Genomic DNA, 24,408 nt, shown 5'->3' with positions numbered 1-24,408 from the left:
ACTTTCTTGCCCTCCCAGACTTGGAGAAGCAGGGAAGGGCCATCCCATCCTCTCAGCAGCAGAGCCCTGAAGGTTTTAAGTGGTTCAGGTTATCAGCCCCCGGCAGTGGCCTAACCAACAGGAAGTTTCCCCAGAGTTTCCATCACAGGAAATTTCCTGTAAGGAAGTCCTTACTGCACAAACAAAGAGTTCCTCGCTCTGCTCCCCTCCACCAAAACTTCAGTGCCCCACCGAAGGAATGTGGGCAGGAGGGCGTGAGTATCAACAGGGCTTGAAGGTAGCAGGGGTTGAGGGCTGGATGGCATAGGAAGAAATGGAGGGGAACAAAGATGTTATCTTACTTCTGCTGGCCTTGGGTTTGTCAGATAATTGCTTATTCACTGGCTCATGCTGGCTTTCATCTCCTGGCCTGCCTGAACTTGCAGTGAGAAGAATGCATGCGGGTGCAGGTTCTCCTGGTCTACCTCCACCCTTAGCCTATCTGAGTTTGATTCGTCATATCTGAGTTTGATTCCTCATCTGTACACCAAGGAACACTGTAATGATTAAATGAGATAGGTTAATATATTACATGAAAACTGGTAAACCGTAAGGTATCATTGAAATACAAGATACCACTAGCTTAACCATAACAGTATTTTCACTATAGCAAATGCCTGCGTGACTGTGTTATCCGCAGAATAGTCAGGTATGCCCTTGGAGGGCCATTCTATTTCTCAGTCTTTGTCAAGACAACCTGAATTGAACAGAGCACAACCTATACTTCAGCTCAATAGAATGTGATAGAAATAGTGCATTCCAATTACTTAAATTTTGGGGTTACATCAATATTAAATAAGCTTTTACATTCCAGCCATAGGAAACACGTCCAAAATGTAGAAAATAGGCCTAATTACCCTAAGTCATAGCCAGAGAGTTACCTCTTGCATTAAATTAGATAACTTTCTTTAAAAAAGTTTGCCTCGTTCTTTTAAAGGCCAATGTCAAAGCTACAAAGAATTGGTCAGCTGAGAGGTCTATTTTGTTCCCTTCCAGTTAATTTATGTTTCTCTGTTCACGTATTTGCCATCCGGATGCTGGGAGTCTCCTTAGAATTACACTTTAAAAAGTCACATGGGATGAGTGAGGACAAATTTTCGATGAATAAAGCTCACTTTTGCTTCACCTATATTTTTGCTTTTAATTTTAAAACCATGATGTAATTATACTACTTTGGAGGGCGGACTAAACCTAGTATTATCTAGAAAAGTCTCAGAAAATGTTTGCTGCAAACTATTCTTGCTTTTTAATTCTTGTTTTAAAAATATGAGACAGGGTCTGGCTATGTTGCTGAGACTGTGAGACTGGTCTCAAACTCCTGGGCTCAAGTGATCCCCCCAACTAAGCCTCCCTATTAGCTGGATTACAGGTGTGTGCCACCATGCCCGGCTACTTTTTAATTCTTTCTGGGGAGTAACTGGTCCCCCTTTCTGGGGGGGTAACTTCATTCTCATGAAGAATATTTTACATTTTGAAGTCCATCTGCAGCAACATGGGTGAATCTGGTGCACATTATGCTAAGTGAAATAAGCCAGTAATGAAAAGATATATATTACACGATCTCGCTTACATGTGGAATCTAAAAGTTGAACTCAAGCAGAGTAAAAGAAGGGATGCGGGTGGGGAGGTGTTGGTCAAAGGATACAAAACGTCAGTTAGATGGGAGGAATAAGCTCAGGAGATCTGTTGTATAACACGGTGATTATGGTTAATAACACTGTGTATGTTTGAAAATTATGAAGATGGTAGATTTTAAATGTTCTCACCACAAAAAACAGGTATGTGAGTTAATGGCTATGTTAATTAGCTTGATCTAGCCAGTCCACATGTATACATACATTAAAATATCATGTTTTATGTATGTATACCATAAACATATGACTTTTATCTGCCAATGAAAAATTAATTAAAATTTAAAATGTGATGGGGATGGGAGGTGAGATGGATGATGAATAGGAGGTGGGATAAGAAGGTCAGGTTACTTTTCCATGACCCAGAAAATGGCCTGGGATATTTTTCAGTCCTTAGATGTCCACTCCCCTTTCCTATGTCTGCCAGAGACTTCCAAGGTCATATATATTATCAGATGTAAATTGCCACCAGCTGAGACTTTAGATTTTTGAAACTCAAATATAAGCCCTGCTCTTCAGAGATGGACTCCATAAAAGCACTGAGTGAAGGCTGTAAAGAAACATCAAGAGCCTGGGCAACATAGCAACACTTTGTCTCTACAAGTAATTGTTAAAAATTAGCAGGGCATGGTGGTATGCCTGTCTGTCCCAGGGACCCAGAGGCTAAGGCAGGAGGATCACTTGAGCCCAGGCCATCGAGGCTGCAGTGAGCAGTGATCATGCCACTGTACTCCAACCTAGGCAATAGGTTGTCTCAAAAAAATAAAAAATAAAAAATAAAACACACACACGCACACACATCAGGCACTTGAATGCAAAGTAGACGTGCCCAGTTTGGGGACCAAGAAGGGGAGTATGAGGTATTAACGAGGACTTCATTTCGTAATGGCATTGCAGCACAAGAATGCATGGTTCTCCTGTTGGTTTTGATTGTGCTTATCAATTGGATTTATTAACCTCTTTTTTCGTAACAGTTCCATAACGTTTCCCTAATGCTTTTAGGGTCACATGAAGGTATGTCAAAGAGCCACGGGTTCTCCTCTCCTCTCTTTCATACTTAAGTTGGGATGGAGAAAGACCACCAACTCCAATGCCTGGATTCTAGAAGCTAATCAAGAGATTCCAAACAGTTGGTGGGGCTACAGAGGGCATGGACACTTCATGTGTGCTTATGAGGGACTGGGGAATGCACATGGATAATGTGACAGTGACTGTTTTTAGGAGCCCTAGGAAAGCACCGGGAAGGCTGTGAAAGATGGATGGCAGTAAAGGAGGTTGGGCACAGTGATCTTGTTCTGCACTAGACATCTAGTTCACTTGCAAAGTTGTGAACCTGTATGAGCCCATTCTCTCCTCGGGCTACATGGATAAGAATGTCTGTGGGTAGCTGTCTCCTCTTCTTCCTCTCCCCTCCCCCTCTGCCTTTAGTTAATTGCAGCTGTGGTCAAGGGACTGCAGCCAAAAGTCCCACAATGCACTCCTCCACAGGAAGTTCCCAAGATCTCTTCCTGAACAGGAAATTTCCTGTGGTCCAACAGACATTCCTCTCAGCGTTTATCACTCACATACATTTGTTTTGGCAGATACTGGGTCTTGGGTAAGAACAACAAGCAACGGTTGGAGGGAAAGCTACCTTAGAGAAAAAAATGCAGTTATTGTCAGGGGAAGAAAGTGTGACTGAATTAACTCCTATCTCCAAGGAAAACAAATACTAGCAAAATGGACTCAAGAGATCTGAAATGTGTGAGAATGTAAATACCACTCACACAGCTATGCAACACTAGGGATTTTATTTGTAACTCAAAGTGAAGGTAGGCAGGCTTTTTGGGGGCCAACTTCAAAGCATTTAGAAATACTCTTGTAAAATTTTCATTTTTATAAATGTCATGGCTACAGAGTGATTGAGATTTTACATTTTTTCTGCTGTTTCTTTATATATGTGCCCTAACGTAACTTATTTCCTCATTACAGAATCATTTCAATCTCTCCCACTTCTAGACACTAGCATTCCCCTTTCCTGAAGAGGAAAGAGCTACCCACGTGGCTCGCAAGCTAGTATTTCACATTTGTGTTGCTTCTCCATAGTGGAGTCTACACTTTCAGGGGCTCTAAGAGGTGGTATGAGAAAAATGTAAGTACTGGGGCATGACCAGCATGATTTTCCCTTGTAACTGGTCTTTCTGCCCCCGATCTTATAATCCATCCCTCAGCACATCACTTTCCTAAAATCCTTCAATGGCTGCCCACCAATTTGGAGGTCTTTACTTTTAATTTCCTTCATGGCCCAAATTAAACTTTCTCCTCTCCTAAGTCAACTGCTTCTCTTCTGTGGCGCAGTGACATGAAACACACTCCAATCACCCTACGTTCTAATTTGTTGGTTACTTATCTGTCTTCCCCAACGAATTACAAGTTCCTTGAGGTCAAGAACTATCTTATTTGTCTTTGGAATCCCAGTACAAAGGATTGTGCCTGATACATAATAGATAGTTGATAAGTTTTCCTTGGAAAGATAATCTCAAAATCTTATCCTTGTATGGTAATAAAAAACAAAGGAATTTCCTTTTGTTTCTATCATCACATTCCCAAATAAACCCATCACACAAAACTATCTTATATTATAAGCATTCTAGCAATCTAGTAACAACCTACAAGAACCACGGAACTAAAATCTTTTCCTTCAAATCACACAAACTTGGAATGTCCACTTTCTCTGGTATGAGAGATTTGTGCATACCATAAGTCCTATTTATTTTACTTGGGTTTTAGCTGCAGTGAGATGCTTGGCTGTCTGCCCCTACGGCCCAGAACCTTTCCAGTTAGGCTTACTTAACCCTCCTTTACTTTGAAGTTCAGCTCCACCCAGACTCCGGGACCAGGCCTACCCTTTATCAAGAGGAAGCTTGGGACCAGTGGTTCAGGGAACCAGTATTGAGTCACTCCTGCTGGCTTTTCTGTGCCCTTGTCTGCCACCTAAAAACAAGCCTTTGCTGTAATGGGATGCCTATCTTGGTTCCTACCCAGCTCTGTCTTCCAGTCCTTCTCAATAACAGAAGTCCTATGACCGAATCCCAGTCTCTGTGGCTGGATTTCTGCTCCTTGAGCTCTTTGTTTCTAAGGTTAATGCTGGATGCCAGCTCTCAACTGCCAACAGCCTGCCACCTTACCACATTCACCAACGACTGGCAGCCCTGGCCCTCCTCCCACTATCTGGTACTGAAACTTCCCTATGACCCTGACTCTGTGGGTACAGCCGAGGTTTTGGAACTGTGAATTTCTTAAAGAGAGTAACTTTTCATTTCTGTGTTCCCAGTGCCGGGACTATTGCTAGGTACACTGTCTGAATAAAAATAATGGTGTTTGAAAGAATGAATGGTCTCAAAATGGAGAGGCATGATTAGATCTGTTAGGGACATCATAGTAAAGGACCAACAAATTATTTCTGGGTTCTTTAGAGGAGAAAAAGAATCTTTCATTGAAGAAAGGACATCTAAATGCCTCTCGACAAGGAGATAAAGCTCTACTTTAAGAAATTACCCTAGGCCAGGCATGGTAGCTCATAGTGAGACCTTGTGTCTACAAAAATTTTAAAAATTAGCTGAGCATGGTGCGGCATGCTTGTGGTCCCACATACATGGGAAGCTCAGGTAGGAGGATTGCTTGAGCCCAGGAGGTGGAGGCTGCAGTGAGCCATGTTCATGCCACTGCACTCCAGCCTGGGTGACAGAGAGAGAACCTGTGTCAAAAATCAAAACACACACACACACAAAAAAAAAAAAAAGAAAAGGAAGAAATTATCCCTTAGTGCTATTCAATGTCTTAAAAGAAAGAGACAAGGAAAGTTTATAGAGAAGAAACCTGTCATTGCACAGCCTTGGTGTCCTTGATCGGCCCCACGCATGGACAGTGCACAGCGGAAGCTCTGGTTTCAGTGGTAGATGATGTATAAGAGTAAGAGGCGCCTTTAGGATGGCCAGTGTCTTTAATGCCCCTAAACACTTGGGAGGGCTGGCTGGTGGTTTCCACTATTTTATTTGTATCTCATTGGGTTGAGAGTCAGAAGGTCTGAGCTCCAACATTCACTCTGCCATTGACAAGCTTGATGACCCTGGACAAGTCATCTGTGTCTCCTCATCTGTTATGGGCTGTTGGAATGATAAATGGCACGAGGCTGCCACATTACAGGGTGAGTATGAATATGGCACATAACAGGTAAATACGAATCTTGGCCGAGGACCAGATGATGATTAATGCAATGTTGTTTTTTTCCTTTCCGGCAAGAAAAGGAAAAGCCTAAAGCTCGATCTACTTTCTTGTCTCAAATGCATCATAACTAGTCCTTTTCACTTAAGACTCACTCACAATGTACTTTCCTGCTTGACTGGACAGTGGCTGAACTGGAGGCTGAGGTGTCTGTATTTTATCTACGTCAAGTGAATGCTTCATTCAGAGGCAAAGGGAAAAATCTAAAGAATGTGGCCAAGGTAATTTGAGCTTCATCAGTGAGGGAATGGATTTGCTGTGACCACTCAGATCAAATTCATGATGTTATTTTGCTAGGCTTTTTGAAGCTGAGCTAACAGATAAGGGTGGCAGCCTCCTTCCTCCCCTCTTGGCTAACATTTACTGAGTCCTTGCTGTGTGACAGACACTGTACTAAGTGTTTTACATTTATATTTTCACTTATTTCTTCGAACCACCCTATGAAGTGGACACTATTCTTAACCCCATTTTATCTAGGTCTTTGGAGAGGTTAGGCAACCTTCCAAGTTGCTCAGAAGTAGGAAGTAGCAGAGCCGGAACTGGAATGTTATTGCCCACTGTACAATATTACCTTTCTGTATACCATGGAAACTGCACCTTGTTCTCTGGAATATGAATGGGTTTGGCCCATGCCTTCCATGGGTGGAGATGTAGTGGTGAAATCGATGTGGACAGAAGCCCTGGAGGGCACGCCAGTAAGTGACAAGCTGAACTTCCAAAGACTGCATGAATGGTTTTTAGGAAATCAATCATTAAAGTGCTACATAATCTATCATGGTTCCCAATGATGACTGAAATTGTTCACTTTGGCTCTATTGGCCTGGTTTCCTTGGAGGGTGCCCCTCCTCCATGCATCGTCCCCAAGGCCAGAACAGCTGGTGCTCTTTGCTAACTGGGCACCAGTTCCAAGGATAGGGAATCAGAGGCAGAATGTTTTGTGAGGAAGGCCCGGTGCTGGGGCACTCCGGCCACCAGCGGACTGACAGAGCCCCAAGCTCTTCAACTTCAGGGCTTTCTCTAAGTTATCCCAAGTTTAATATTTTAAGTATATTCTGCTTTAACCAAATAACAGTTCCTGCTTTATTTTTATAAATATTATATGCTGAGGTCCAATTTGAAGGAAGCAATCTTAGAAGTTAAAAGTAAGGCACAGATCCAGCTTACATTGAATGAAACAACTAAAAGCAAATATGCACATATGCCTTGTACTCTTAGACTATCCCTGAACAGACTTTAAAAATGGATTAGGCGAGTATCACAGTATTTGTGACTCTTACTAATGGCATGCCATGGACATCAGAGAAAGGCTGTTACGGTCAGTTCAACGGTCACAAAACAAGACATGTAAGATGAATTATTAAGTTTTGTGGGCAGTTACAACGGAAGTAGAGGACATGGTTCTTTACTTTGAAGTATTTACCACCAAATGAGAAAGAGAAAACAAATAAATGTATGCCTCAATGGCAAATCTCATTGATGTCTGCATGGAATGATAACTAGAGACTTTATTTCTGGGAACCACCAAGTAAAATAATGGTTTTCTCCTGCCAAAATGCAGACTTCTACTAATCCCCACAAATCTGAAATGACTGGTTTATCTTGCATAGCCATAAAAAATGGGCACTGATAGAGTATAAAAGGAAAATACCTCAAGAGATAAAAAACTCAGGTGCAAGGAAACCCACAGGTATGACAGTCAGGTGTCTTGCGTCAAGCTGACCTCTCTGCTCACTGAGTATCTCTCCCTTGATTCCACAGCTAGCACCAGGAGGCTATTTTTAATCACCAGGCTTCAGACAGCTGAGTCTAGTTAGAATAAGATCTCTGAGTACGGAGGCAGCAGAGAGGCGCCAAACGCCTGGAGCGTGCACTAGAAAACCTGCTTGTGCCCAAGCAGCTGAACTGAGAAAGAACACAGCCCTAAGATCACGGACCAGAATGGTCAAAATAGCCCCAGGTAAGGGTCAGGCAGAGGTCGGTTTCATAGGAAGCATCTTCCTTGTCTTTGAGCTTAGCCAATGTCCAGTTCCAAGAGCTATTTTAAGTGCACTCTTAAAGCTGCTTCTATCCTCACGCCCACACTAAGGTCCAGGATGGAGAGAGAGAAAGAGAGAGGCTGATTGATCGACTGGGCTTTACTGCTCCTTCTCTGACTTCCGTGGGTTCCCATTGTGCCTCTAAGAAAGCAGGATTCAGCGGGCGTCAGTGCTGTGGGCTATATTTATACCCATCCAGCTGCCCGGTTGCTGAGCTTTTCACATTTACAAACAGCAGGAGTACAAGACGCCTTCCAGAGGGACTATTTTCTCATGGTATTTATTCTAGATTTCTCTGGGATGATCTCAGCATTCATATCTTTTTGATGAAGAAAAAAAGAAAAAGGGGGAGGAAAATAAACAGTAGGTGGACACAGTTCTCTGCTGCTGAGGCAAGAGTATTTTCTTCTACACAAAAAAGGAGAACGCTGCCTTCCTGGCTTTCTTTGCCATGCAGCCAGGTTTATGCCTGGGAAATACAAGTAAGAGTCACATAGCGCTACGCAAGGTAACTAGGAGTACAGGCACCTACTCATCCTTGATCTTTCTTTCCTGCCTCCTGAGCGGCAAAACAGAGCACATATACTAAGAGAAGGGAGGCATCCCACCAGCTGTAGAGTCCGACCTGGGTTGAATCCTAGCTGATAGTGGTAGCCACTGTTCATCTGTGTGACCTTGTGACCTTAATTTACTGGAGTTCTCTGAACCTCATCTCTCCTAGTGGCCCCCAAACAGAGTGACCATTGGTTTTGAATGAGATGGTGTGTGGAAGGAACAGCATGGCTTTCTTTGTCTAATAACTAAAACATCTTCTATAACCTTGCCCAGTCCAGGACATAAAGTCCTATGGGCCAGGCACCTGTGGTAAGCAGCACCAGGCAATACAGCAACATGGTTAAATGAACAGGGGAGCTCCACCACTCATGAGCAAGCTTGCCGTTGGTGCCTCAGTTTCCTCATCTTAAATTGGAGGTAATAACAGAAACTTCTCAAAGGGCTCTTGGGAGGATAAAATGAGCTAGCAGATGTAAAGTGCTTAGGACAATATCTGCCACAGTTAGTGCTGGGTGAGCTTTAGCTATTATTACTGTACCAACTGAAAGCTCCGATATCAGTCACCATTGTTCCAACACTAGAGTATACAGAGAATATGTTAAGGTTTTTTTTTTTTTAAATTAAAGAACTATTCCTTAAAAACAGACATTAAAGCTTTAAAAATGTAAACATTAGTGGATGTGAATTTCGTCATTCTTCAGTTTTTCATCTCCCACCCCTCCCGTAGCCCCCTAACTAAAATTTCTGTTAAATTATTTTTCCAACACTGCTCTAGTTAAACAAGAAGTTGCTATTAATAAAGTAAGTTGCTCAAATAAAGTAACCATTTAGAACCTTCTGGGTTGCATACATGGAAATAAAACTTAATGCTTTTTATTTCCTCCTTTTTCTGCCCCTTAGCTCAGCTGCAAATAAGAATTGTTTGGTTTTACAGTAGATGAATGAAAATTGAACCCCATTAGCAAATGGGACCTGACACTGAAAGAGGATTAATTTTTTTTTTTTTTGAGATGGAATCTTGTTCTGTTGCCCAGGCTGAAGTGCAGTGGCACAATCTCAGCTCACTACAACCTCCACCTTCCGGGTTCAAGCAATTCTCCCACCTCAGCCTCCCGAGTACCTGGGATTACAGGCGTGCGCCACCACGCCTGGCTAATTTTTGTATTTTTAGTAGAGACAGGGTTTCACCATGTTGGCCAGACTGGTCTCGAACTCCTGACCTCATGATCCACCCACCTCGGCCTCCCAAAGTGCTGAGATTACAGGCGTGAGCCACCTCGCCTGGCCGAGGATTAATTTTTAAATGTAATCCGTCTCAGAGTTGTGTGGGTCCTATTCAGGATTTTGTCTAAAGTAAATTCTTAGCTAGCTCCGGCCAACACTTCAATGTCTGTCACTGGGAGAGCAGGAACAAAATGCACATCCACACCAGCCTCTTCTGCTCATCCTCCTATCCAGGTAAAATCTGACTGAAACAAAGGGGCAAAACATCATAAAGAAAGGGGGCAACATACTGCCTAAGTGTTCTGTACAGAAGGAGGGCCCAGCATAGTGCCTTGGTTTCCAGGTGTTCTATACATTTATACTACACGTGTATATTGATTTATCTATTTGCTGTGGATACAGGCTTTGCTTTTAGCCGCAGCTCTCAGAGCTGGCTCCTTGCTTCATCTTGCTGTCTTTCTAAATGACCATCAGTGATGTGTACGACCCTCCCAACGGGGTTCTCAAAATGTCTCACTTCTTCTCCAGAAAATGGAAGCTCTGTTTTGCTACTGCACCCACCCTGAAGATTAGTAGGCCCAAGGTGGGAAATGAAATCTTTTTTTTTAAACGACCACCAGGTGAATCTGTTGTGCAGCTGGGTTTGAGAAACATTAGATAAAACTCTTGGAAAATTTACAAGTATTATTAAAAAAAAACAGCATATAACAATATCAATGAACACTTATATAGTAGTATGTGTCAGTTATTATGTATTCACATATTGATGTCTTTATTGAATTAAAGGGGTCAGTGTAAAAACAAAAATATAACTATCTGGGTTCTATCCAGATTCTTCCATAGATTTCTTGTAACAAAGGAGATATAGCAATTTGTTTTCATCAACTGGACACGAATACAAAGCTACAACTACTTGTCCCTTATGCACGACCTTACAGGAATCTTTATGGGCCACACGTGTGACTCAAGTTGTACTGGTCTAAGGGTAAAAAGACTATCAATAGTGACAACAATTTCAATGGACAAAGAGCTTTCCTCCTGAGAAGCTCTAGTTTGACATACACATGAACACGTATTTTGGACAACATCCCTATGGCAGGAAGACTGTCAACATTCATCAGAGGAGGAAGTTAATTTTAGCTCTGTTCTCGTTCCCCCAAATCCTCTAAAGTAACAGTGAAGAGATTTTTAAGAAGGCACAAATCTACAAGGACAAAGACACCAGAAGAGATAAGGGGGTGGAGGGAGGGGAGAAAAAGAAAGAAAAACAAACCAGAAACTTGAAAGCAGAAGAACCGGTGGTAATTTACTTAGCAAACCCAAGAAAGCGGAATTCTAAACTCATAGTAAGGAAAGATGTGATATAACCAAATTCACATGGCAGAATCCGTGAAAGGATTGGGGACTGGTGTCACTAGTTACATGTGAAAATCTGGACAGTCGAGTCACGGCTCCTCCCCTACCATGGCAGATTAGAAGCTTAAGCTCTGGCCGGGCGCAATGGCTCACAGCTGCAATCCCAGCACTTTGGGAGGCCAAGGTGGGCAGATCACTTGAGGTCAGGGGTTCCAGACCCACATGCTGGCCAACATGGTGAAAGCCCGTCTCTACTAAAAATACAAAAATTAGCCGGGTGTGGTGGCGCGCGCCTGTGATCCCAGCTACTAGGGAGGCTGAGGCAGGAGAATCGCTTGAATCCAGGAGGTGAAGGTTGCAGTGAGCCAAGATTATGTTACTGCCCTCCAGCATGGGCAACAGATACTCTGTCTCAAAAAAAAAAAAAAAAAAAAGTTTATCCTCTGGTACCAAAATGACTAGGTGGAATTAACGGAAATTATATGAAAGATTAAAAGAACATGCATATGTTGACCACTGTGCTCACTGTGCCCCCTACCCCTTCTTCTCCCACTGTGCTCCTAGGAGGTTGGCAGCTAGAATCTACCCTCCAGGATGGCTACTAGAAGAGTCAACCATCTCTTGGGAATCTAAGCAGCCAAAGACAAAAGACCTGGAGATATTTACCCAATGGCATCCCAAGGAAATGTGTGGGCAGGCCACCCTAGAGAGCACGTTCACCCAGGCACGGAGAACTTGCCTTCAGTGCTTGAGGGGTCCATCAACTCTCAGAAATGGGCAGACATGCAGGGATCACCAGACGTTTGAGTATAGAAGGCAGACAGCAAAACAAAGACCAAAACCAGACAAAGGCAACGTGGGGAAAACAGACAACTCAGGGAAAGAAAAATATCATCCAGAGAGAAATAAGATATTGCAACTATGAAACAAAAACAAGATGCTATAATGAAGAACAAGTCGAACAAAAAAAGTACTTGAATATTAAAAGTATGATATCAGAAACAAAAAAAAAAGAAGTGCTGACAAAAAAGGTTGAGGAATCTCTCCAAGAGGAACTTAAAATATTAAGAGGTGAAAAATAAAGATAATTATTGGACCTACATCCTAATAATGGGAGTTCTGGAGAAAGAATGAAGAAAACAGGAGGACAGTTCCCAGAATGAAAGGAAATGAATATCCAGATTGAAAGAGCATCAGGATTAGCACAGACCCAGACTAAGGCACATTACTGTAAAACTGCAGAATCTGGGGAATAAAAAAATGCTTCCAGGGAACAATAAGTCAACAAACAAAGGTTTATGCAAAAGATTAAAGATCGGAATGGCATGGTCTTCTCAACAATGGCACTGAAAAAAAATGCAATGGAGTGCTACCTTCAAAATTCTGGGGGAAAATTACCCCATGTCTAAAATCATACAGTAAGACAAATAATCTATCAAGTATGAGGAAATAATCTATCAAGTATGAGGAAAGAAGAAAGACATTCTTCAGACACGCAAGGTCTCAATAAAGTTGCCTCCCCCCTACCCTTTCTCAGGAAGCTATTGGAAATTGTCCTCCATTAAGGCCAGAATTCAGGAAAGGGACTCACACCCGAAGGAGAGAAAAAGTGAACAAAGGTCATAGCTGGGCACCAAGCTGAAGCCCAGACCGAAGCAGGTAGAAGCTCTTGCTTCAAGGCTCATCACACCTATGGCATCTGAACTACTGAGAGGAGAGTGAGGCAGGGCGGATGAATTAGTGAAGGAGATAAAAAACCAAGTAAGAAGGACATTAAAACAAGAAATACGATCGTGGCTCACCCCTGTAATCCCAGCACTTTGGGAGGCTGAGGCGGGCGAATCGTGAGGTCAGGAGTTTGAGACTAGCCTGGCCAACATGGTGAAAACCCGTCTCTACTAAAAATACAAGAAATTAGCTGGGCATGGTGGCTGGCGCCTGTAATCCCAGCTACTCGGGAGGCTGAGGCAGGACAATCGCTTGAACCTGAGAGGCAGAGGTTGCAGTGAGCAGAGATCACACAACTGCACTCCAGTCCGGGCGACAATGTGAGCCTCTGTCTCAAAACAGCAACAACAACAACAAAAACAATAAATATACTATAAAAGCATCATTATCAACTCCAGGGAAAAAGAAAAGTGACTGGAAAAGAAGAACCATAAAAGAGTAGGTGACTCAGCTTCAAATGGCACTTATATAATCTTAATATGTAAACACTAAATTGTTCTGTCCAAAATTATGATTACGAGGATGCATCTATGGGAGGGGTTGGGGTAGGGGGAAGAAAGGACAAACTGTCATTTCCTACAGTGAAATAATGCTAGATAATATTTAGAAATGAAAAAAAAAAAAAAAAACCAATACAAGCACGTGATTTAAGAATTGGAGGAGGTGAATGACAAAAGAATCAGTTAAAAGATTTGAATGTGGTTGCCCTGGTGAGCAGGAAATCAAAAAGAAATCAAGAGTGAAGGGAGGGGAGTGGGGACATTGAAGGTGTTTGTAACAAGCCTTATACAACTGTTGGGTACTTTAAACTCCACACATCATAGTATCAGTAATTATAAGAACCAAATACAGTTATCAGAAGAGAAATGATGGCTCAGAGGAAAAGGGACTAAGAACTGAGTGCGCCAGATGCTAGGTTTCCTTTCTATTCAATTATACACATCCTCAAGAGCTCCATGACATTGCTATACTTCCTAGACCACTTTTTAACAGGTGGTGGTTCGTTTTTTTTAAAGGCAGAATTGCTGCGTTTGGTTACACACTGTGGAGGGGGAAAAAGGCCCAATTTGTGGGTGAAATATTAGTATAATTACCAGCCACATAAAAGTCTTATTAGTTCGAGATCTAAAAAAATATTTTGGAATGGTTTAGACCAATACTATGCAGTGTGACTATAGCCCTGTGCTAAACACATATTGCTGGAGTCCCTAATCCTATGGAAATGATGTCAAATGAACTGCCTGGGGACTAAGAAACAATTTATTCTTAGGCTTAATCTTTTAATGGGTATTTGTTAAAGAGATTCTTGCTTTGTTGGAGGGAAAGGCATGATGGATGAGGGCTGGACTCCTTGTAAATGTTTTCTTATTGTGCTTTACTCCCGTAATTAATGTACTTTTTTCCAGTAATACCAGGGCACTGGTGTGAAAGAAATCTGTTCAAGAATGAAAACAGATTGCTTACTGGGTCTTCTATAGGGAGGTTTCTCCTCTTTCCTTTTCTTCCTTGTATTCTTTTTAATATATTTTTGATTGGATTTGATACTGGGTGATACAACTTGGGCTTAGGGCTTTAGAAAACTGCTAATATTCTACACAATATTTTTGGCTTTGACCCAAAGCAGCAATGTCATAGACTCCATGTAAAAAAATCACTATGATCCCTTTGGCCATTTTTGGTAAAGGAAAGTATGCTGGCCTACTCCTAACTTGGCTACCTACTTGCTGTGTGATCTTGAACAAATGGCCTAACCTCTCTGACCCACCTTACTCACCTGCAAAACAAGGAGTGAGTCTCAGCCTTTTCACACCCAGAAATCTCTTACTCTAGAGCAGTACTCCCAATAGAAATGTTACCCATATAATGGAATTTAAAATATTTTAGTCCCCACAGTAAAGAGAAGTAAAAACACACAATCGACATCACTTTTAATAAAATATTTTATATAACCCAATGTATTGAAAATATCATTTAAACAGATAATCAATATAAATTAATGAAATATTCACTTTTTTATACTAAGTTTTTGAAATCTGATGTGTGGTTTACACTCACAGCGTAACTCAGTAAGGATCAGTCACATTCAAGTGCTTGAAAGCCGTATGTGGTGAGTGGCCATTATGTATTAGACAACAAAGCTATGACATTTTGAAAGATTCTGCTTACTCAAGAGCAGTTACTAGGAATAACTGATCCATTTTCACATTTATAACTCCAGCCATAAGCAGAGCAACCTCATGCTTCCACAGCTTGCTTAACCTTACAATATTGTCTCCAAATATAGAATTACCACGAGACATTTGAAATACTAAACTTGGCTCATGGGCCCCATTACTCTTTCAGACTCTTTGGGGTTTAGGGGGCATAATTGGACTAGATAACACCTTAGGGTCTTTTTCAGCTCTATCATTTAGTCATTTCAGCGTTTGATCACTGGCAACAGTATCAATTATGCAGGCACTTATCAGAGAAGAAAAAAAGCCAAGGATTTAAATAGGGAGTGGGTCATCTGCCCAGGGAGAGTACTAGAAGGGATTGGCATCTGCTCTCTTGATATGAGCCATTTCCCTCTAAGGTCATACTGCTCCTGACAGCTCTCATTAACCCTGAAAGCTGCAAAAGCAGCAAAAGGCATGGATGTATGCAAAGAATTAATGTATTTTAATGCTGGAAGAGTCTTTAGAAATCACCTGGCCCAATACTCTCCATGGCATCCTTCTCCAAGTGACTCGTTCAACATCACACATCTGTTTTGGGGTAGAACTACTATCCTGCCTCTTGACGCAGTCCTCTTCACTTACAACTTAAATCCCGCACATTAAAAATAAAAGACTCTCCTCTAGACATAAACTGAGGGTTCTCAAAATGCATCATATTTGATCAGAAATCCTATATTGATCCAGTGAGACTATGAGGACTAAATCTACAAATTATTTGTTTTTATTTTGGGATTATGTCAATTATATGTCCTATTTCCAGTTATTATATTTCATACTTATTCTGAATTAGCGTATATATATCTTTAATTAGGGAAAAGTGAAAAAAAAAACAAATTAAGTTGTACTTAATTGATAACAGATTTTGTGGTAGAGAAAATATTGCAAAACCTGAGATTCAGGCATGAAAAATATAATAAAAATGGAGACTTCATATGAAAAGACCAGAAATGATGGCGTCATACCATACTCCCCAAAGGAAGTAATATTGAGTGATGGTCAATGCATAAGGCCTGGAATAATCCCAAGAGTATTGAAAATGAAGGAATATTTTAAAAAAAACAAGAACCGTAGCCCGTCCTCAAATCCCTAGGACAGATTCCATCTTATACCTCCAAATCTTCCCTTCCTCCCAGGATATGTGGCCATTTTTTTTTGTAGCCAATGGCTAAATTATGCAATCAAACCTGCTAAAACAAGTGCCAAAATTAGATGCCAAGCACATAAGGCATGTTATTGGCAGTATCATTCCTCTGGTTCTCAAGTTTCCAGCTAACGCCAGTGTCCAGAGTTACTCAAGAGTTTAAGCTAGAGGATTGTGAAGGGTGTAGGCAACGTGACTAAAAAAAGATGCAAAGACTGACACGAACCAAATGCAAGGCTATTTGCTATACAAGGAGCCAAGAAATCAACTCCATGGCTTAGTGACATACTTCTACTCTGCAGAGGAAGATATGTGAAGCTTGTTGCAGCAAGTCTTTCCAAAAAGGCACACATGGAAATGAAAAAATAACATTAGCACTGCCATAATTCTCACTAATTATAACTGTAGAGGTGGTATTGGTGATAATGGAGATGGAAGAGCTTCATTCCCTAATTGATTCAACAAATACTTATTGAGTACCTCCTCACTGCAGGCATTGTTCTAGGCATCAGGGACACAGCAATGAACGAAACAGAAAAATCCCTGTTCTTGAGCTTACATCCTAGTCAGGAAATCAGGCACTAAGTAAATAAACAAGTAAAATATACACTGTGTCAAATGGTGATAAATGTTATAGAGGAAAAAATGTCATGGAAAGGGTATACAAGTGAAGGGGTGAGGTTTACTATGAAGACCTCACATTTCAGCAGATATCTCTGAAGGAGGGACGCAGTGGTTCAAGTATATATTTGGTAGAAGAGCATCCCAGCGAGCGAGGTCAGCAAGTGCAAAGGCCTGAGGTAGGAACATGCTTGGTACGGCCTGCCATCATGTCTTGCCAGACTTATTAAGAGATCCCTAACAGGCCTCTCTACTTTCACACTTCCCCCTCCTTTCTCCCACTCTCCCTCTTCCTATCCTCTACACAATAGCTAGAATGATTCCTTAAAATTCAAAGAGCATGTCAATCCATTGCTTACAATTCTCATTGGCAAATTATTAATACAAGCCAAAGTCCCGGCCAGGCGCAGTGGTTCATGCCTGTAATCCTAGCATTTTGGGAGGCTGCGGTAGGAGGATTGCTTGAGGCTGGGAGTTTGAGACCAGCCTGGGTAACATAGTGAGACCTCATTTCTACCAAAAAAAAAAAAAAAAAAAAAAAATTAGCAAGGCACGGGGTGCACACTTGTAGTTCCAGCTACTCTGGAGGCTGCGGCGGAAGGATCATGAGCCCAAGAGTTTGCGGCTGCAGTGAGCTATGATTACACCACTGCACTCCAGCCGAGGCAAGAGCCTGTCTCAGAAAATGACAAAAAACACAGTATCTTTACAGTGGCCTACAGCCTCCTCCCAAGTCCTCTTGCCCCACTCCTGTTTCCGAACTCCGCTCTTCCTCACTTGCCAATCACTTTAGACACATTTGCTTCCTCGCGTTCCTTTTAATACATCAAACACTTTCCCTCCTCAAGGTCTTTATTGTTGTTTGTGCTTGGAATACTTTGAACTCACATAGTCACATGGCTTGCTCCTCCTGTGTTAAATTCTGTATCTTTTTTTTTTTTTTTTTGAGATGGAGTCTCGCTGTGTCACCCAGGCGCGAGTGCAGTGGCGTGATCTCGGCTCACTGCAACCTCCGCCTCCAGGGTTCAAGCAATCTTCCCACCTCAGCCTCCCAGGTTCAAGTGATTCTCCTGCCTTAGCCTCCTGAGTAGTGGATTACAGGCGGGTGCCACCACGCCCAGCTAATTTTGTATTTTTAGTGAAGACGGGGTTTCAACATGTTGGCCAGGCTGGTCTCGAACTCCTGATCTCAAGTGATCCGCCCACCTTGGCCTCCCAAAGTGCTGGGATTACAGGCATGAGCCACTGTGCCTGGCCTGTATCTTGATAGTTTAGAACACACTTGGCACATAGCAGGTGCTCAGTTAATATTTCCTGAAAGAATGGGTCTCACCATCTCCTTTCACCCCTCCTACACTACGGTGTTGAGCAGCACAGGGGGAAACCACACAGACAGACAAATTAGTATCAATACAAACTCCAGGCCTCCCACTGGGAGGCGATGCCACGCGGTGGGGGGACCCCAGCTTGGCTCAATCAGGCACTCTCCCATTTCCTTCACTGCCACCTCCTGTATCTTTGGCTTCTCAGGCAAAACAAACAAACAAACAAACAAAAAAACAACCAACCACAAACAAAAAGGCTGTGAAGTGGGAGTTTCCACAAGTTATGAAGCCTGCCCCCATACAAACAACTGTCTTATGTTCACACACACCTTTCCTCTGATTTCAGTGTAACAAGTGTCCATCTTTCCATTGAAAATGAAATAATACCTCCATTTTTACTTTGCCTCTTATTTTTTCTCACTTCTACAAGGACTCTGTTCCATAAATCACCCCATATTTCTCCTTTATTTTCAACTCTCTGATTCTTACCAACAATTCTACATGGCTAAATACCGTCCATTAAATAAACAAAACAAAAGCAAAAACCTCCCTTCACCCGCTGTTGCCTTCCAGATCCTATCTTTTCTCTCGATTCCAATCCAGTAAGAGAGTCATCTATAATCACTTTCTTCCACATTTCAACCCACAGCAATCAGGTTTCCACCTGCCTCTCCCCGCCACAGAAATTGTGCTTACTGGGTCACTGATGACTTCCCTACTTGGAAAAGCCAAAGACACCTTCAGTCCTCATCTTACCTGAATTCTATGCAGCATCTGATTGGGCAGGATCATTCTTTCCTTCCTGAAATTCTCCTTCCTTGATCTCTGTGATTTCCCTCCTGTCTCTCTGGGGAGCCCTCTTATAGGCTCTTCCTTCTCGTCTTGCCACTCTAGATAATGGGCTCCACGGAGACTTGTCTTTTCTGCTTCCCATCCCTTGCTCCTCATCTGATCTGCCACTCACCTTGCCCAATCAATCTGCTTAATCACTTGAATGTTTCTCTTTCACTCCATCTCTCTGACACTGCTTTGGCTTGTACTTATTTTTTTCTCACCTAGATCATTGCTACAGCTGCTACCTACAAAAGCCTTCTGAACACACATCCCTTCTCTCCCCTATTTAAACTTCCAGCACAAAATCTAAACTCCTTAGCATGGCATACCCTAGTCATCTTTTCTTCTTTAGCCAGTCAATAGATGTATACTTATAATACATATACCTCCCATATTTTTCTTAAACATGGAAACAATTTAATTGCATTTCTTCTGTCAACACACCTGAGGTTATCTTATAAATCATTTTACACTCATACAAACCAAGGTGTTATAGTTCTAAATTACTTTTTGAGAATTAAAAAATTCAGAGAGAAATAGGACATAACCAAGCAAGAGTGTCTCACTCTGTAGTCAATACCTTGCACATCTACATAACAGACTGACTCCAAGCATTTCCCAGTGATTCCCCAATCCCTCTGTCTTTCCACATTAGTGAACATCCTACAAAGCCAATTTTAAAATGAAAAACAAAATATGAGCCTATTATTACAAATGTGCAGTCGCAGAAAACACAAATGCACACATACTGTGTGAGTAAAATAAAAAACACACTGTCTCTTAATAATAAAATGTTTAACATTTCACATTTCAGATAACGTTTCAGCTGTCTTTCCAGGTTAAAAACTCCTCTCAGACAAAAACAAAAAGTCTTCTTTTCTCTCTTAAAATCACCGAGAGTAGATACATTGATTAACAACAGTTTAACAAACTGTTAAACTACCACTGACCCACGAAGATTGTTCACATCTACCACTGACCCAAGAAGATGTCTTGCCTAAGCTGAAGTAGAAGGTTTTAGATTTGCCATGAGTAGACGAGTAAAGTGAAAGAGGGTACTTGGTAAAGATTTTACAGAGAGCCAAGCAGTGCATCTGATTTCAGCAAATAACTTGACAGTCTATCCTGACTTTTTCTTATGGGTTAGGCTGACAGTCAATTGATATGTAGTACCATTGTGCATATTTGCAAAAATGATAATGTGTCATTTATGGCATATGGCAGCAAAGAGATTTATTTGCCAGAAAACATAATCACAATATACTTGTTAACTATAAAGTTAACTTTATAGTTTTAAAACTATGCCTACCTGGAAGGCAGTCTCTAGCGGTATGCCACAGGGATCTTTCACAGGTCCCGTCCCATTCAATCTTTTTCCCTTCCAAATAATTAACATAAAGGTACAGAGAAAGTACTCATCTAATATAGAAGCCATAAAGTAGGAAAGAGGAGTTTATAGAAGGGATGATAGGCATTACCTCAGCCAACTTAAATAAAACGTAATAGGGTTAAATGTAAAGGCATATATTTTAAGTTTAAAAAATCCACAAAAGAAGAGTTCTGACTTTGGCTATAGTCCAAGTAAAAACGATCAATGTGAATACAACACAAATATTAAAATGCTAACATAACCTTTTGTTGCATTAATAAAATAACTGCCTATCCATTCAGCAATTAGTTTGCACATATTAGACGAAAAATACTGTTAAAGTAACTGTTTCATTTTGGGTAAATGGCAAAGCTGAGCATCAAATCCATATCTGATTCCAAAGTTCTGTCTCTAGACTTAATGTAGAAAGAATACACCCTATCTGGTTTCACATGGCAAAACTAGAACCAAGAGCAAAGTGACAGTGAGGTGAGTTTCAACTCTATTTTTCACATCTAGCACCATCCAAGAACGGGACGAAAAGGGGGCAGGGAAGTACTTCCCACTGAATACACACAAGCAGGGGAGGACTGTCCTGCTATCTCTGGGATGCTAAAGAGACAGTCGTGACGTGGATGACAAGTTGAAATATATCATCTCTGAGGTCCTTCACAATTCTTAGACTCATCGATCTTTATGAGAAATTATTAAAGGCAATTGAAAAATAAACACTTCCTAAGAGTTGGACATTGTACATATTAAACCAGCCTCATGTTTTTCTTAAAGCAGGGGTTTACTGTTGTATCATGAGGCAAGTTTCCTAGCATGCAAACAGAATTAGGAAACAAAACTCATTGAGATTTGCATAGTTTGCTAACATCTTGTACCTGTAACTGAAAGTAGGGGGAAACCCAAGCTGTTCACCTTTGGTGTGCTGATCTGGGGGAATGCAGATGTGGAACTGCTTAACTTCGCCATGAAGAAAGCTTCCACAGGACGTAAGAACAAGATGAAACACACTGCTATACAGTAACTTACAATCATCTACTAGACTTCTATATTTTTGTCTGCTCAGCATCCACATACCGCATGTGGGGGAATCCCAAGATTGGCAGAGCTTTCTCCCCTGTTCCCTGGAACATAACCTGGACTCAGCCAATTAGATGCACTTGCCACAGTGTTTGAGTCTTAAGGGAGTGACCAATTCCCCAGGGATGGTGAGATGTTATTTATGGCAGAGGTGCTAGTCTCACGAATTCATGTGTCCACTGGCAGCCGAGCTGTGGTGGCATCCTAATAAAACTGTCCTTATGGCTCCATCTCAGCTAAGCTCCGGGCTGCCAAGTATCCTTTTGCTTCTGCTACCTTATCAGCCAATGAGCTGCCCAATATACCTCCAATAAAAGCTTTTTTTTTCTCTGTGATTAAGTTGTTCAGAGCTTTTTGTTGTTATTTGCAAGGAAGAACTGGTATACTTCTAAAGTGTTACACCACAGAATGAATTTAGGTGAATATTTGCTGTTGTCCCAGGGCAGTAAAAAAGGATACAGGCTACTGAACCTAAAACCTATTCTAATATAAACCCCAAATTTTCTTCTAAAAGGCTGGCAACCCAAGTGACAGATATTAATATAATCTCAACTTAAAAAAACAAAAACAGCTACATCTATCAAACTAGAGGTTGTAACAGTTACAGTTCTATGAATATACTGTGTAATAAATTAAAACTTTCAGACTGGGTCATTTATTCAGCACATACTTAGTGGAAGCCTTCTCTGTACCAGAAAGAGAGAAAAGGAATGGTTTCTAATTAACTCTTTTGTTTTTCAGCATCTGTGTGAAAGCAGAGAAGGCTAAAGGTAGAGCGTGTGTGAAAAATATGGGCAAAACCTTTTAAAAAGTCATGTCATCTATTTGTAATTGCATAAAGCTTTATTTCTTGTAAATTTTATCAGCTCATTTAATTACACAGCACACTAGGCAAATGCAGAAGGGAATGAATGGTTACTTCTCAGCAATTCTCTTCACACTTTTTATCTCTGTAAAGAAGGATTCTCATCATGCACTGAACAGTCACAGTGAGCACCGTCTATACCAACCAATTTTCTAATAAAAACTTGGCTATCTGGAAAAGCTCTGAAATGAACCATTCTAGAGATCCAAGTTTTCCAGGGTACCATACTAAGCACCAAAGGTTATTTCAGTGATTATTTTAACAACTCTAGGGGAATTTTTCTACATTATATATTTTCCTTCTGGCAGAAAAGAGAAAAATAGCAGGCAGCCAAATGGTTGCGTCACTTGAACTATGTCATTTCAATCCTGGAAATATTTCTGTCTTGATTCCCTAGGTAGAAAAGTGGGCCTCGGTATGGAGGCTATTTTTAGAGTCTGACTTCTTTTTTGAGCAATCCATTCCTTTCTTGACGTGAATGATTACCAAGTCTAGCTTTGAACTACAGTTTCAGATCAGAAATAAGCACATCACAGGAAAAGTCAAAGGAGTTTCAAGTTTTTAAGATGGGAACTGAACAAATTCAGTACTGAGTTCTGGGGAAGGGCTTGTGTGCTCAATTTCTGCCAAATATATTTGCTGCAGTGATCCTCTAAGAACCATAAAAAGTACAAGCTGTAAAAGAGCAAATCATTTCTAAAATGATGAAAGGCTGAGTTTTAAAAGAGGACTTATTCGGGAAAGCATGCACAAATATACGCAGAGACGCACGTGTGCATCCACAAAGAGAGAAGTCAACAGGCTCAACTTGTATGTTTGGTCGAAGCCCAAATCTATGAAAAAATAGAGCAAAGCATTTAATCTGGCTCTGAAGTATTCAGGGCCTAGATATAGGAAGGACAAAAGCCACGCTAGTATCTACTTACAATGTAAATCTGGTTTTGGTTGTTTGCGAGATAAAATAACCACCAACCCAAGTCTGACAGTTTGACAGTGTTCAAGAAGCTACAATAAGGGGGCAGCCCTAGGGCTGTATCACTTGAGCAATCAGTTTTACAAACGAATAATGTGTCTAATCCTCTAAGGCCTTTTATCCTGAAATCACTCACACGGAGGGCTCCAATCTTAAAGAAAGAACTTAGCTTTTATATAAACCATGCAATACAAGCCCAGTGTACATAACTGGACTAATTTAATGGTGTTTGAAAGAAGAGTGATTTTTTTTTTAAGAAAGAAAAACTAAGAGCTCTATGGCTCAACAAGGGAGTTACCTTTCTCTTCCTCCAATAAGGCATCAAAGTTTCAGGCAGAGTTGGGAATGATCTACCCTCCACAAGGAAAAGGCAGCAGGACATCCACATAGGTTTTCACTCAGTGCCTCAGCCTGCTTCTTCTGGTTTGATTCAACACGCATATATTGAGAGCATCAGGCACTATACCCAGCCCCAGGAATCTCAGATGGTTACAAGAAAACACTGCCTTCCAGGAACTCAGGATGAGCACCAGCCAGGCCTCATTTTCTGGGAAAAAAGTTTCTTCTAGGGACACCTCTCCTCAAGTGGCTCACAACAGACAGGGCTATATTAAACACAGGAGTGTGTGTGTGTGCACACGCGTGTGCGCTCGCCAGGCTGCCCAGGAAGGCGCTGTCATTCACGGAGGACCTGCCACGTGCCAGATGCTGGACAGGGCCCTTCATAAGCAGTAACTCTTGTAACCTCACAATAACTGCATGAGATAAGCATCGTGATTCCCCTTTTTAGGGATGAGGAAACTGCGACCCTGAGACATCTAGTCCTGCAGTAGGCTCCAAAGCCGGTGCATTTTCTGCTATTTGACATGGCTTGCTCTGAGAACAGAGAAGTTCCAGGTCACGTAGGTGAGATCCACCCATTCATAAATGCTTAAGAACCATCCAGGGTGAGCCGAGTCCTGCTGTGTGCTGGGGGAATGCACTGGTGATCAATCTGGCACAGTCCCAGCTCTTGGGCTTCAGTGGTGAGGATAAACTGGGAACCTGTGTTAAGGGAAGTTGAGAGCACCTTGGAAGCCCATTGGAGGTGCTGGTGAGTCTTCTGTAAAGCCTGGCATGAATAAATGGCTTAAACTGGGG

General features: G+C 41.6%; 1 protein-coding gene across 12 annotated transcripts in view, besides 3 other annotated features; it reads right to left on the bottom strand.

Moving 5' to 3' along the window:
- Positions 1–24,408, bottom strand: part of ETV6 (ETS variant transcription factor 6) — a 245,704-nt gene that overhangs the window by 93,160 nt on the left and 128,136 nt on the right. The gene's annotated exons all lie outside the window — the stretch shown is intronic.
- Positions 5,949–6,637: an enhancer, noted in NCBI's record as "H3K4me1 hESC enhancer chr12:11948515-11949203 (GRCh37/hg19 assembly coordinates)". NCBI's record gives its function as "activates a minimal SCP1, AML or CMV promoter by ChIP-STARR-seq in naive H9 embryonic stem cells {active_cell/tissue: H9 hESC(naive)}" and the evidence as "EXISTENCE:reporter gene assay evidence [ECO:0000049][PMID:30033119]".
- Positions 6,638–7,326: an enhancer, noted in NCBI's record as "H3K4me1 hESC enhancer chr12:11947826-11948514 (GRCh37/hg19 assembly coordinates)". NCBI's record gives its function as "activates a minimal SCP1, AML or CMV promoter by ChIP-STARR-seq in naive H9 embryonic stem cells {active_cell/tissue: H9 hESC(naive)}" and the evidence as "EXISTENCE:reporter gene assay evidence [ECO:0000049][PMID:30033119]".
- Positions 21,436–21,505: an enhancer, noted in NCBI's record as "active region_5993". NCBI's record gives its function as "activates an Ori minimal core promoter by ATAC-STARR-seq in GM12878 lymphoblastoid cells {active_cell/tissue: GM12878}" and the evidence as "EXISTENCE:reporter gene assay evidence [ECO:0000049][PMID:35858748]".

Source organism: Homo sapiens, chromosome 12, assembly GCF_000001405.40.
Source record: "Homo sapiens chromosome 12, GRCh38.p14 Primary Assembly".
Classification (NCBI taxonomy): domain Eukaryota; kingdom Metazoa; phylum Chordata; class Mammalia; order Primates; family Hominidae; genus Homo; species Homo sapiens.
Note: the sequence above shows the minus strand (reverse complement) of the source record. Positions and strands in the feature narration are given on the sequence as shown.